This window comes from Homo sapiens, chromosome 11 (assembly GCF_000001405.40).
Source record: "Homo sapiens chromosome 11, GRCh38.p14 Primary Assembly".
In the NCBI taxonomy this organism is placed as follows: Eukaryota; Metazoa; Chordata; class Mammalia; order Primates; family Hominidae; genus Homo; species Homo sapiens.
This window is the reverse complement of record NC_000011.10, coordinates 14,599,390-14,612,964: the sequence shown is the minus strand read 5'-3', so window position 1 is coordinate 14,612,964 and position 13,575 is coordinate 14,599,390. Positions and strand designations below refer to the sequence as shown.

General features: G+C 40.0%; 1 protein-coding gene across 1 annotated transcript in view; it reads left to right on the top strand.

Moving 5' to 3' along the window:
• PSMA1 (proteasome 20S subunit alpha 1) overlaps nucleotides 1-13,575 on the top strand; it is a 138,787-nt gene that overhangs the window by 30,698 nt on the left and 94,514 nt on the right. Inside the window, exon 2 of the mRNA NM_148976.3 lies at nucleotides 1,814-1,999. Coding sequence (NP_683877.1) covers nucleotides 1,979-1,999 — 21 coding nt within the window. The 5' untranslated portion in view covers nucleotides 1,814-1,978. The remainder of the gene's footprint in view (nucleotides 1-1,813; nucleotides 2,000-13,575) is intronic.

Sequence of the window (13,575 nt, the reverse complement as noted above, 5' to 3'; positions counted from 1 at the left end):
AATGGGCACCATTGACACTGCATCTTTTATCACTCATCTGCCCAGCCCGCCCGGCCCACAAAATAAATGGAAAGATTTCTTCCTAACTCCTGCCCTTTCTAAGGAAGGAAGTATAGGCACATGGTCTAAAGAGGACTGGACCTCAAGTTAAATTATGACCAGGCCCAGTCACCCACAGATCATATGATCTCTGGGTAAACATAGCCTACTCTAAATGACTAAGTTAAAGGTAGCAGGAAGATACAGAGGATACTAAAAATGCTTGACAAATTTTAAATTTCTGTTGAATATTTAAAAAATATTTTATTTATATCTCTTTCCTAGAGGGTACAGTCTATGTCCTAGTCATCTATGTATTTTTCTTTTCACCTAGCACAATATCAGTTGCTAGTAGAATGAATTAAGAAACTGCTCCATACATTTTTTTTCTAATTTTCTGCTTTATCTAATGTTTCTTTAATGCAGATAAACTGCTTATATGATAATTAAATGTCTCTTTCCTGTTTTAAATGTATATATTTTATATAGATATATTGTACACGATAATACATATATGATCATACTTTCAATTGAAGGAAAGTAAGGAAATAGTTTAAAACTGACTTATGAATCAATACATACTACAATTTCAACATCTTATGAGAATTGTGTGTTACACTACATAATATTTAAATACAAATTATATTTTTCTGCTATTCTAAACACCATGGTTAGCAAAAACTGAAATGAATGTTTTGTTTTCCTATGACACAACTGGGTGAAAAGCAGAACTACACATAAGTTTCATAATAAAACTTCACACCACATCATACTTGTCTGTTGTCAGGTTTTGTTACATTCCTCCTAGCTCAACCAAGACTCCCTGGGGCTGGCAAACAGGGCAGAGTTTGAGTCAAAACCATGCACTTCCTTTCAGCTTTAGAGATGCACTTACAATTTTGGGGGAAACCAAAAAACAGCTGTTTTTTCCTCCAGATGTGGCAAGTCTGTCACTTTCAGTGTTTATTCCAACTCCAAACTCAGCACAAATAAAGACAATTGCCTGGGAAAGGAAGGGGATAGAGGCTGGAGAATCCAAAAGTTCTATTCCACTCAAAATAAGGTATCAATGTTACAAGACTCCCTTGAAAAGAGACAAAGTTGGGAAGATGGCAGAGCAGAAAGGGAGAGAAGGAGAGAAGAGAGAGAGAGCATGGAAGGGAGGGTGGGAAGGAGGAAAGGAAGGAACAATCTAGTGAGGAGTATGTGTCATTACCAAAGATTAGGATTAACCCAATTCTGTGGTCCTGGGATCCAACAAAAAAATGCACACCTGACCTAATTGTATTCATTTGTCAAGAGGCCGGTTCCATATCGGAGACAGGCTGTATTCATAGATGATTTTAAGGACAGTTTAAGGCATAGAGTTTTACTCTAAAAACTGAGAAACAAAAAATCCTTCATTGTAGAATTTGTTTTGTTGCCCTAGCTCTACTATTTATACTTTTCCACTTTAGCTATGCACAGAACATAGCTAATTTTCATCTCAATTTTTCAATTCTTTTGCTATATAATTGTTAACATTTATTGACCACTAACCTCATTTTAAGGACTGTGCTAAGTATTTTATATACTTTCCTGGGGAGGCACTTATTCCTCACTTTTGATATTTCCCTCCACGTGGGGAACATCCATTAGAGTAACTCTCCTGGCCTGTATCTACTTACCCCCAGGAGAGGAGAAGAGAGTTTGGTGAGTTTGAGATGAGGAACAGGATGTCTGATGAAGATCTAATATAACTCATGTTCCTTTTACCTTCTCCATTGTCTTTCAGGTATTCCACCCTGCAAAAAGCATGTATTCATGGTCAGCTCTCAGCAAGGCCAGTAGCAGAGTGGTAAAGGCCTTGGCCCTCCAAGGCTGGGAAAAGACAATGACAAGTCAAATCCAGACCTATGTTGTATGTTGGTCTACTAGGTGACTGTCTCCTGGAAATGTTATGCAGCTCAGCAAGGTGAAGGTGAGAATATCTTTGCTTTTTGATAAAACACAGAATGCATAGATTTCACATCTCACTATGTGAGCCCCCACAAAACAAAACCTAGAGGAGCATGTGAGAAAAACGCATCTCTAGGCTAGAAAACAAAAAGAGAAAAAAAGAAAAATGTCTGTGTAAGAAAGCAAAGGAAAGAAGATGCTCAAATCCAGCAAATCATACCAGCCTTGTCATAGGCACAAAAAGAAAGGGATTAACCTAAGTTACAAGGTGAATTATCATAAAATCAGATGAACCTTTCTGAAAAATAGTCATGGGACAAAGGAGGGATATATAACACTAGAGGCTTAACCCTTTCCTGCAGAGAAAAAAAATGTAACTGAAAGAAATGCCACTCAAGGCTTGTGACATTCAAAGTGAAGACAAGATAAGGTCTTATGTAGTACATGACATAGGTGTAGACACTCACTAGACTGAAAGGAGTACATGTTTCCAAAGCAGCTTTAATTCACGTCTCTGCTGAGGGTGATTACAATAGTAGGAAGCAGGAGGCAGGTCTTAGGCTATAGCAAGAGGTACAGGCAATAGCCTCTGTGGCACAGGATTGAGATACCTGTTCATAAGACATCTTCGGAGGCTGTGTCACTAGACACAGCCCCACTCTTATCAGCATGGGGTGCCAGAAACATGAGACTCAATGGGAAAATAAAATTAAGAGGATTTGAATATGTTATAAAGGAAAGGCACTTTGAGTAAAACATTAATTGGGGCTGCCATCATGTGAAGATTTTTAAACTTTTGTAGAACCCAGAGGTGTTGCAAATGCCGCTCTCTGAGAAAGCAGATAGTATGCAGAAGTGGCTCTTCCTCTGATATTGGAAGTAAAAGATTAACTTCTTGATGGCTGACTTCTCCCAACTGAGTTTAAGCTCACAATTTCCTGACTCCTGAAAATTGGCTGTGACTGCCACCAAACTGTATCCAGAAACCCAACCATTTGTCACCTCCCCTGCTATCACATTGGTCCAAGCCACAATCATGTCTTCTTTAGATTATTGCAACAGTTTCCTAAATGGTCTTCCTGCTGCTGCACTTACCCTTTAGAGTCTCTTCTCAGCAAAGCATCCAGGTGATCGTGTTAATTCAAGTCAGTACCTTGTTCTGTACCCTGCACTGGCTTCCTATCTCATCAGAATGAACACTACATGGTCTGCCCTCTGTATCCCCCTGATCTCATCTCATCACTCTTCACCTTGCTCACTGCACTCCAGCCACATAGGATTCCTTGCTGTTTTGTAAACACTCCAGGAATACTCCTGCCTCCTGTTTTTGCATTTGCTATTTCCTCCACCCTAAAATGATCATTCACTACATAGGCACATGGCTTGCTCTTTAACATCCTCTAGGTTTTTATTCAAAATAGTCTCCCTGGCTCTCCTAGCTAAAATTCTAATCCCCTCTCAACATCTCATAACTCCATTCTTTTATTTTTTTCTCCTTATCATGTCACTAATATGTTAAATATTTAATTATCTTATTTAAAAAAGGTCTTCCCCAAAAGAATGCAATTTTGCTCCATGAAGGCAAGAATCTTTGTCTGTTTTATTAGCTGCTAGAATATCTCCTGATACATAGTAGGTATTCAGTAATTATTTGCAGTATGAATGAATGAATGAATCCTGATGAGACAAGCCTGGATTATCTCCATCCACCTATCGTTATGCAGATAACTTTGATATGGTCTTTGGACTCACCAAGTGATGTGATCTGGAACCATAATTTTCCTATAGTATCAACATTACAATCTAGGGATTAGCTTGCTTTCCAAATTGCATAGTGACTGAGCTAGAACTCTTATAATTCAGTATGTTCTAGGAATTCTTTGGACTTTATTTTATTAAGTGGGGATCATGAAAACAAATTCTGAGTTCTTGAAGGAACTGCATCCATTCTAGGAACTGCGCTACTGAGGGAAACGAACACCACATCTGCCTTCTCTTGACCAGGACTGAGTAGAGTAAGAAATGAGGAAAGACAAGTTTTGTACTTTAATTTTTTTAAACTTTAACTCATAAAGTCAAAAGAATTTGATTTAGGGCTTTAATCTCTTTGGGTTTTAACTTATTTAGACTTAACTTGCAAGGGAATCTAATATTTTTTACTGTAATTTCTCCCTGGAATTTGATAATGGGAAGAAGTCTATATTCAGATGTGAAGCATCTTATTATTTTATATATTTTATACATAATATGTATACTTTTATATTATATATAATTATATATTTTAACATATATAATCATATATGTTTTATATGTATAAAATACAGACAGGATCTTGCTTTATATTCATATAATTATATATTTTTAACATATATAATCATATTTTATATATATAAAATTTTTTTTTGCCTTTTTTAAATTTTATTATTATTATACTTTAAGTTTTAGGGTACATGTGCACAACGTTCAGGTTTGTTATATATGTATACATGTGCCATGTTGGTGTGCTTCACCCATTAACTCGTCATTTAGCATTAGGTATATCTCCTAATGCTAACCCTCCCCGCTCCCCCTACCCCACAACAGTCCCTGGTGTGTGATGTTCCCCTTCCTGTGTCCATTTTATATATATATATATAATAGAGACAGGGTCTCGCTGTATGACCCAGGCTTAAGTGCACCCAGGCTCATAGCTCACTGCAGCCTCCAACACCTGAGCTGAAGAGATCCTCCTGCCTCAGTCTCCCAGGCAGCTGGAACTACAGGCACATGCCAGCAAGCTTGGCCAATTTTTAAATTTTTTGTAGAGATGAAGTCTCACCATGTTGCCCAAGTTGGTCTCAAACTCCTGGCCTCAGTGATCCTTCCACCTCAGCCTCCCAAAGTACTAGGATTACAGGCATGAGCCACTGTGCCTGCCTTGTTATATACACTATTATTGGGGTATTTTTATGCTGTCATTCAGTGCCATTGTAGAACTTCTGATGGGCTATATACATGTTACATCCATGAAAATCCACTGCTCACACTTCCTGCTGTGAGGATCATAATGGACTGATGGCCTCTGGACCCATCATCATGTTCACACTGAGGCCACACTTCCTGCTAGCTGCTTCTACCAATGACTGAAGATGACTAGGGTACTAAAACATGCCCATTCCAGTGAAATAGAACTCTTCCAACAAGGAACTTTGGCTGAAGGATTTTCCATCAGCCAGGTTTAACCTTTCTAAGAACTGCTGCATTGCAGTCTAAGATTCTTCCTACCCAGTTGTCCTTCCTTCCCTCTCTTCTTGCACAGATGTCAGACCTACACCATGCTTTGGAGGCATTCCCTGCCTTCACCTGCTCCCCCTGCCAATAAATCTCTTCCATTTCTCATCCTTTCTTGGCGTCTGCTTCTCAGTGGACCCAAAGTTACATACTATATAATAGGACAACTTGGCTAGACATCATCTGGGGTGGGAAATTGATTTTCAGCCAGGGGTACAATGTTGCCTACAAGTTAATTTATCTAATGTATTACTCTGGCCTATTTCAGAGCATTCTGGGGTCAGAAGCAACCCTGGACAGTACCAGGAGGACCCACAGAGCATCACAATTAGTGTTAGGAGAACAGCCTTGTGAAAGTAAGAATAGAATTATCTTGATAGTCTGCTGATCTCTTCTCCACAAGAGGATAGCTACAGCTTGATGGAATATAGGCTAAATGGTCAAGCCCAATGTATTAAAAGAATTAGAGTCTGGGAAATGTTCAGAGCTAAAACTTTTCCTCTACTCCAGTGTTTCTTTCCTTGTGGAAAGAGCTTCACTGGCACAATACTCCTGTCGGCTCTCTGCCAACCTCTCTCACTCCTCCCCAGGGAAACACTGGTGACTTTCCTTATTGATAAGTTTGGAAGAAGAATTTTACAATGCTCATCTCAGCTCCTTCCTCCTTCATTTTAACATAATATCCACAGAGAGTATGCACTCTATTCTGTTCCTCTATATCATATATTTTACAGGGGCAGGCTCCTGCACAGGGAGACCAGCAGGTCCAGCTGGTCTGTATGCCTGGGGCTATGTGTCAGTAAGCCTATTATTCCCACACATCTAAGCCACATCCTCAATTCTGGCCTTTAGCAGCTTATCAGGTGATATTGTGACTGCTATTTATTTTTTCCTTTTTGCCTTATAATTGATACAGAATTCCAGTGGAGAGAAGATACTATATTCCCTTTTTACCTAGCAGAAAACAGGTGTATCAACTTCTACAAGATTATACAGCTAATAAATGTCAGAATTAAAAATCAAGAAAAAGTCCTTAGCCTCTCTGCTTTTTAATGTTGCCATTTCTTTTTATAGCTCTGTTTCATGATAAAGGCTTTTGATGCACATGAATTAGAAACATCCAATTACTGAATACATCAGTAGTTTTGATAAGGTTTGGTCCTGTAGGCCTGCATTTATTTATCCTGGATTTTTAAGGTTTTTAAACTATTAAATTGTTACATTTGAAATCTCTCCCTGAGGGTCTTGACAAATATTTCAAAACAGATTCTTTTTTTTTTTTTCTTTTTTTCTTTTTCATTCAGACAGGGTCTCACTCTGTAGCTTAGACTGGAGTGCAGCAGTGTGAACACAGCTCACTGCAGCCTTGACCTCCCTGGGCCCAGGTGATCATCCTGAAAAGAGGTGATTTCATTTCCCAACTTCAGACTATACTATAAAGCTACAGTAACCAAAACAGCATGGTACTGGTACAGAAACACATAGACCAATGGAACAGAAGAGAGAATCCAGAAATAAAGCTGCACGCTTATAGCCATCTAATCTTCAACAAAGTTGACAAAAATAAGCAATGAGGAAAGGACTCTCTATTCAATAAATTGTGCTGAGATAGCTGGCTAGCCATATGCAGGGCAATGAAACTGAGCCCCTACATTTTACCATATACAGAAATTAACTCAAGATGGATTAAAAATTTAAATGTAAGACCAGAAACTAGAAGAATTCTAGAAGAAAATCAAGGAAATGCCATTCTAGACATTGGCCTTGGGAAAGAATTTATGACGTTCTAAAAAGCAATTACAGCAAAAGCAAACATTGACAAGTGACACCTAATTAAACTAAAGAGATTCTGCATAGCAAAAGAAACTATCAACAGAGTAAACATACAACCTACACGTTGGGAGAAAACGTGAATATTTTCATATTTGCAAAGTATGCATCCAATAGAAGTCTGATATCCAGAATCTATGTGGAACTTAAACAATTGAACAAGCAAAAAACAAATAACCCTAATTAAAAATAGGCAAAAGAAGCCAGGCACAGTAGCTCATGCCTATAATCCCAGCACTTTGGGAGGCTGAGGCAGGAGAATTGCTTGATTCCAGGAGTTTGAGACCAGCCTGGGCAACATAGTGAGACCCCGTCTCTATAAAAAATAAACAAAGTTAGCGCCAGGCATGGTGTTGCATGCCTGTAGTCCTAGCTACTTGGGAGGCTGAGATGGGAGGATCACTTGAGCCTGGGCGATTGAGGCTGCAGTGAGCCAAGATCACGCCGTTGTATTCCAACCTGGGTGACAGAGTGAGACTCTGTCTCAAAAAAATAAAAAAATTAATGGACAAAAAAGACATGAACAGACCACTTCCCAAAAGAGGACACAGAAGTGGCTGGGAAACATGAAAAGATGCTCCACATCGCTATCCTCAGAGAAATGCAAATCAAAACTGCAGTGATATACCATCTCACACCAGTCATAATGGCTATTATTAAAAGTCAAAAAACAACAGCTGTTGGCAAGGCTTCAGAGAAAAGGGAGCACTTATACACTGTTGATGGGAATGCGAATTAGTTCAGCCACTGTGGAAAGCAGTTGGAGATTTTTCAAAGAACTTAAAACAACTATTACTCAACCTAGCAATCCCATTACTAGGTATATATCCAAAAGAAAATAAATTCTTCTACCAAAAATGCATATGTATTCTCATGTTCATCACAGCACTATTCACAATAGCAAAGACATGGAATCAACCTAGATGCTCATCAGTGGTGGATTGGATAAAGAAAATGTGGTACATATAATAACCCATGGAATACTACACAGCCATAAAAGGATGAACTCATGTTCTTTGCAGCAATTAGAGGTCATTATCCTAAGCAAATTAACACAAGAAGAGAAAACCAATTACCACATGTTCTCACTTATAAGTAGGAGCTAAACATTGGGTACTTATGGACATAAAGACGGCAGCAGTAGACTCTGGGAATTACCAGAGGAAGGAGGGAGGGAAGGGGGCAAGGGTTGAAAAACTATTAGGTACTATACTCCTTACCTGGATGATGGGATTATTCATACCCCAAACCTCAGCATCACATAATATATTCAGGTACAAACCTGTACATGTACCTCTAACTCAAAAAAGTTGAAAATAATTAATTTTTAAAAAGAGGTGATTTCAAGAAAAATCTAACTTCTAACTACCTTTTTTTCTCATGTGACCTCTAGCATATTACAAGGAATGGACTAAAATTGCATGTGCCCCAAATATTTTTATCTTTGCATTGGGGCCCTAGAAAGGCCTGAATATAGAGATGTCACATATATTCTACAGAATATAACAGTCAAGAAAGTAGAATTAGGCTGGGCACAGTGGCTCACATCTGTAATCCCAACACTTTGGGAGGCCGAGGTGGGTGGATCATTTGAGGTCAGTGGTTCAAGACCAGCCTGGGCAACATAGTGAAACCCTGTCTCTACTAAAAATACAAAAAAATTAGCCGGGCGTGGTGGCATATGCCTGTAATCCCAGCTACTCAGGAGGCTGAGGCAGGATAATCACTTGAACCCAGGAGGTGGAGGCTGCAGTGAGCTAAGAATGAATATGAATATTTACTTCAAACTCTACCTCTCTCAGCTTACTGGAAAGGACATTTAGTAGTTAGAAGAAATGTATTTTAATGGTGGGAAGAGTTTGCTAAGAATGATTTTCAGAGTATTTTGTAGGGATCCAACAGAAGACTATATGCTAACTTTCTCAAAAGAGAGTTAAGCATCAGTCTTTTTTCTCTTGTAAAGGAATCAAGCCACAAGCTGTATCCCTGTCACCAGATCTATGGAATTAAAACTTCTCTTTGTATTTGAATTCCTGGAATATTTCTTGATACTGATTTCCAATTCATAATTTTATAGATCTGTTTTCCCTGTCACTACATTTCTGCATTTTGTATAAATACTTAATTTGTTTCTTGAATTTGTAATTAAACAGTCAACCAGCTTAAGTCCAATAAGAATCTACTGAAGCTAAATATTTGCTGCTTTTAGTAAGCCTAATAATTTCCATCTTTGTCTTACTTGAATAATTAGCTAGGAATATTTGATGTTTAGTCTGTGCATGGAATATTTTGTAAGGTATTAGAACCCTTGCAAATAACAGGAAAATTCAGCACAAAACACTGTGACACACACCTAAGCACTTTGAGTCAGTGGACTCATCGGGTGCAATAAAAAACAACTTTTCCATCTCTCCTCATTGCCCATTTTGAGGAGGAAGTGGTCCTTTGCTTGAAAGAAATCTAGAGCAGATCACTCCTAGATAATAAAGTCATCTGATTACATCTCGTCATATGGATAGTCCTCTTTTGTTAATTAAAAGTTCAGTAATTTAAGTGTGAGAGTCAAAGTTCCAAATTTCATTTAAAATTTCTCCCCTTAACAAAGTGCTTACAGTGGAAGAGGGGTGCTTAGCTGGCTTCATCTCTCTTTACCTACCTGGTGAATTACTTCTCCTTCCTTACTCACCATCAGGCTGCCTCTGGATCCTCCAGGGTTAAAACAGTGAGAGGAATAAGAGGGAGCAGGAAATGTCTTACCTGACTGGCACCAATGTAATTTTGCGTTGGTTACCTCTAGCTGTGGCAAATATTTAAAGCCAGCTCTTTCTGGCTGATGTTCCAAGCTGATGATTCTTCTCACAGTTGCTTTCATGGGTACATTGGAAGCCCCCACATCAAACCCCCACATCTATAGTGTGGGTGAAACATTGACCTTCAACTGGTTACTTATGTCTCCCCGCACAGCCATGGAAATCAGGTGAACCCATCCTGTATTGGGGTCACTTGATCTTTCTGAGCGGAACTCACGTGAAATCTGAAATGGCTCCAGGTCTGCTGAGCCCACACCTAATCCATGAGAAACACTCACCATCTTTGTTCCTGCTTTCAGTGTAAATTCAGTTAGTACTCAATGCAGGCTGGGTTCTGCCTTTCTCTATATATTTACCTGCACTTTAGACCAGTATCTGCAGCCTCTTGTCTTGCACATCCAAGTTTATTTATTTAAACTTTATCACCGCCAACAGCCATTTTTAGTACCTTCCAAAAGGCTACTCCAAGATTATGAGCATGACTTTCTACTCCTCCCATCAAAAAAAGGTCAAATTTCATACACTTTGTAGACTGTAAAATTACAAGAAAAATAATATATATACATATACATATATAGAAATCAGTTTCTATTACTATGATTTTTTTTTCATACCTCTGGAAGTCTAAAAGGAGCTGGAAAGCCTGGCCCAGAGCTCTCCACCCAATGAATGTACCAGGTCAAGGAAGATAATATAAAACAAAGTCCACTCTTTTCTCCCAAACAAATGTCCCAAAGAGGTGGTGATAAATGAGACAGTTTTCCTTGCTACTCCCAAAAAGCTTGGTGATAGCTCAGCCTTTTCATGGCCAAGACAGTTTTGCCCAGGTGTCTAGTTCTGGGAAACGGTCTCTATCACATAACTGAAATTCCCTCTCCAATTGTAATTTAGTGTTCATGAGTTTCTCCATCCTGCTGGATCCTCTTGCTCTAATGGGAGGGATCTAAAAAATAGATGTGCCATTATAGATGGTTCTACTGAGCCGGAGCTAGGACCCACTTATGCATGTGTGCTATGCTGGGTGTGAAGTATGAAGCCATGAATCTATAGTGAGGAACCAATGAGGGCTCTATGTAAAGAATGAGAGGATTGACTAAATTTAGGGTAGACGTTAAAGGTGGAGAATGGTGAAGGGTGCGGGTAAACATTGATATCCTTACCTTTTTCTGACAGTAAGCCCTTCACAAGATTTTCTCATGCATGAGGTTATTTGGCATGGACCTTGACAGAATTCTCATTTAGCAAAATTGTTATGTACATAGGTATTGAGAGTTAGACAACTTGGATTTTAATCTCATTCTTTCACTTACTAGATATATGGCCTCGGACAAGTTACCTGAGCAAGTTCATGGAGTTGGGAGTAAGGGTGTTCACTTTTGCTTCTTAAGGCATCTATAAATCTTTTAAACTCTGATTCTGAAGCCCATGACATCCTGATTTTCCCCAAAGTGAGCATGTAGACAGGATTATGTGATCACGAAGAACCCCTTGTTCTATTTACATTAAGCCTCCATTCACCCAGAGTTACCAGCTCAAGAGACTGAGTCGGAGAGAGTTTACATCTTCTCCAGGCCATATCTAGAGGCTTTCAGGCAATAATGCAGGTAGCTAGATTTGTGTTTTGAGGTGGAAGAACGGCAGCCTTTGGTGGGTTTCAAGTGCAAATTTCATCCCAGACCCAGGGATAGTTATGTAGCTGGGCATCCAGGAGGCTAGAACTTAGTTTAGGAACAGGAAAGAATCCCTAAAATCCTTGTCTGTAGTAGTTTGGGGATTTTTACTCCAGTATTACACCATTGATCTGTCAGCTACTCCTCTCATGTTTGTTTCCAACACAAGTCCCACTCCCCCCAGTTTAGGCAGCACCCTTGAGTTAGCACTGACCCATTTGTGTTGCAAGACCCCGTGCATGTTGCTTGTGTAAATGATGTTTGGCTCCTTACTCCTGAAATAGCCAACTGGCAGTCACCTGAAATAGGGAGTCAAAGCTGAATTTCTAAAATGGAATAATGCATGACATAATGCTATTTACTGGGAATGAGTGATTTGTTTCCCTGTCTAAACTTTAATTTCTTTAACAGTGCTTCCAAGATATTTGGTTTTAAAAAAAACACATAAGAATACTAAACAAAAAATTGGAACTACACAAAAGTGGGAAAGAATGCCAATGTGAAAGCCAGAAATAAAGAAATGTTGGAGCATTCCAAGATGGCCAAATAGGAACAGCTCCTGTCTGCAGCTCCCAGCAGGATCGACGCAGAAGATGGGTGATTTCTGCATTTCCAACTGAGGTACCTGGTGCATCTCACTGGGACTGGTTGAACAGTGGGTGCAGCCCACAGAGGGCGAGCAGAAACAGGGTGGGGCATAACCTCACCTGGGAAGCACAAGGGGTCAGGGGATTTCCCTTTCCTAGCCAAGGGAAGCCATGACAGACTACCTGGGAAAATGGGACACTCCCGCTCAAATACAGTGCTGTTCCCAAGGTCTTAGCAACCAGCAGACAAGGTGATTCTCTTCCGTGCCTGGCTCGGCGGCTCCCACACCCACAGAGCCTTGCTCACTGCTAGCTCAGCAGTCTGAGATTGATCTGCGAGACAGCAGCCTGGCTCGGGGAGGGGCATCCACCATTGCTGAGGCTTGAGTAGGTAAAAAAGCGGTGGGAAACTCGAACTGAGCGGAGCCCACAACAGCTTAACAAGGCCTACTGCCTCTAGACTTCACCTCTGTGGGCAGGGCATAGCTGAACATAAGGCAACGGACAACTTCTGCAGACTTAAACGTCCCTGTCTCATAGCTCTGAAGAGAGCAGTGGTTCTCCCAGCATAGCGTTTGAGCTCTGAGAACGGACAGACTGCCTCCTCAAGTGGATCCCTAACCTCCGTGTAACCTAACTGGGAGACACCTCCCAGTAGTGGCCAACAGACACCTCATATAGGTGGCTGCCTCTCTGGGACGAAGCTTCCAGAGGAAGGACCAGACAGCAATGTATGCTGTTCTGCAGCCTCTGCTGGTGACACCCAGGCAAATAGGGTCTGGAGTGGAACTCCAGCAAACTCCAACAGACCTGCAGCTGAGGGACTTGACTGTTAGGAGGAAAACTAACAAACAGAAAGGAATAGTATCAACATCAACAAAAAGGTCATCTACACCAAAACCCCATCTGTAGGTCACCAACATCAAAGACCAAAGGTAGATAAAACCACAAAGATGGGGAGAAACCAGAGCAGAAAAGCTGAAAATTCTAAAACTCACAGTGCCTTTTCTCCTCCAAAGGAACACAGCTCCTAGCCAGCAACGGAACAAAGCTGGGCAGAGAATGACTTTGATGAGTGGACAGAAGTAGGCTTCAGAAGGTCGGTAATAACAGACTTCTCCGAGGTAAAGGAGGATGTTCAAACCCATCTCGAGGAAGCTAAAAACCTTGAAAAAAGATTAGACAAATGGCTAACTAGAATAAACAGCAGAGAGAAGACCTTAAATGACCTGATGGAGCTGAAAACCATGGTACGAGAACTTCGTGATGCATGCACAAGCTTCAATAGCCAATGTGATCAAGTGGAAGAAAGGGTATCAGTTACTGAAGATCAAATTAATGAAATAAAGTGAGAAAACAAGATTAGAGAAAAAAGAGTAAAAAGAAATGAACAAAGCCTCCAAGAAATATGGGACTATGTGAAAAGACCAC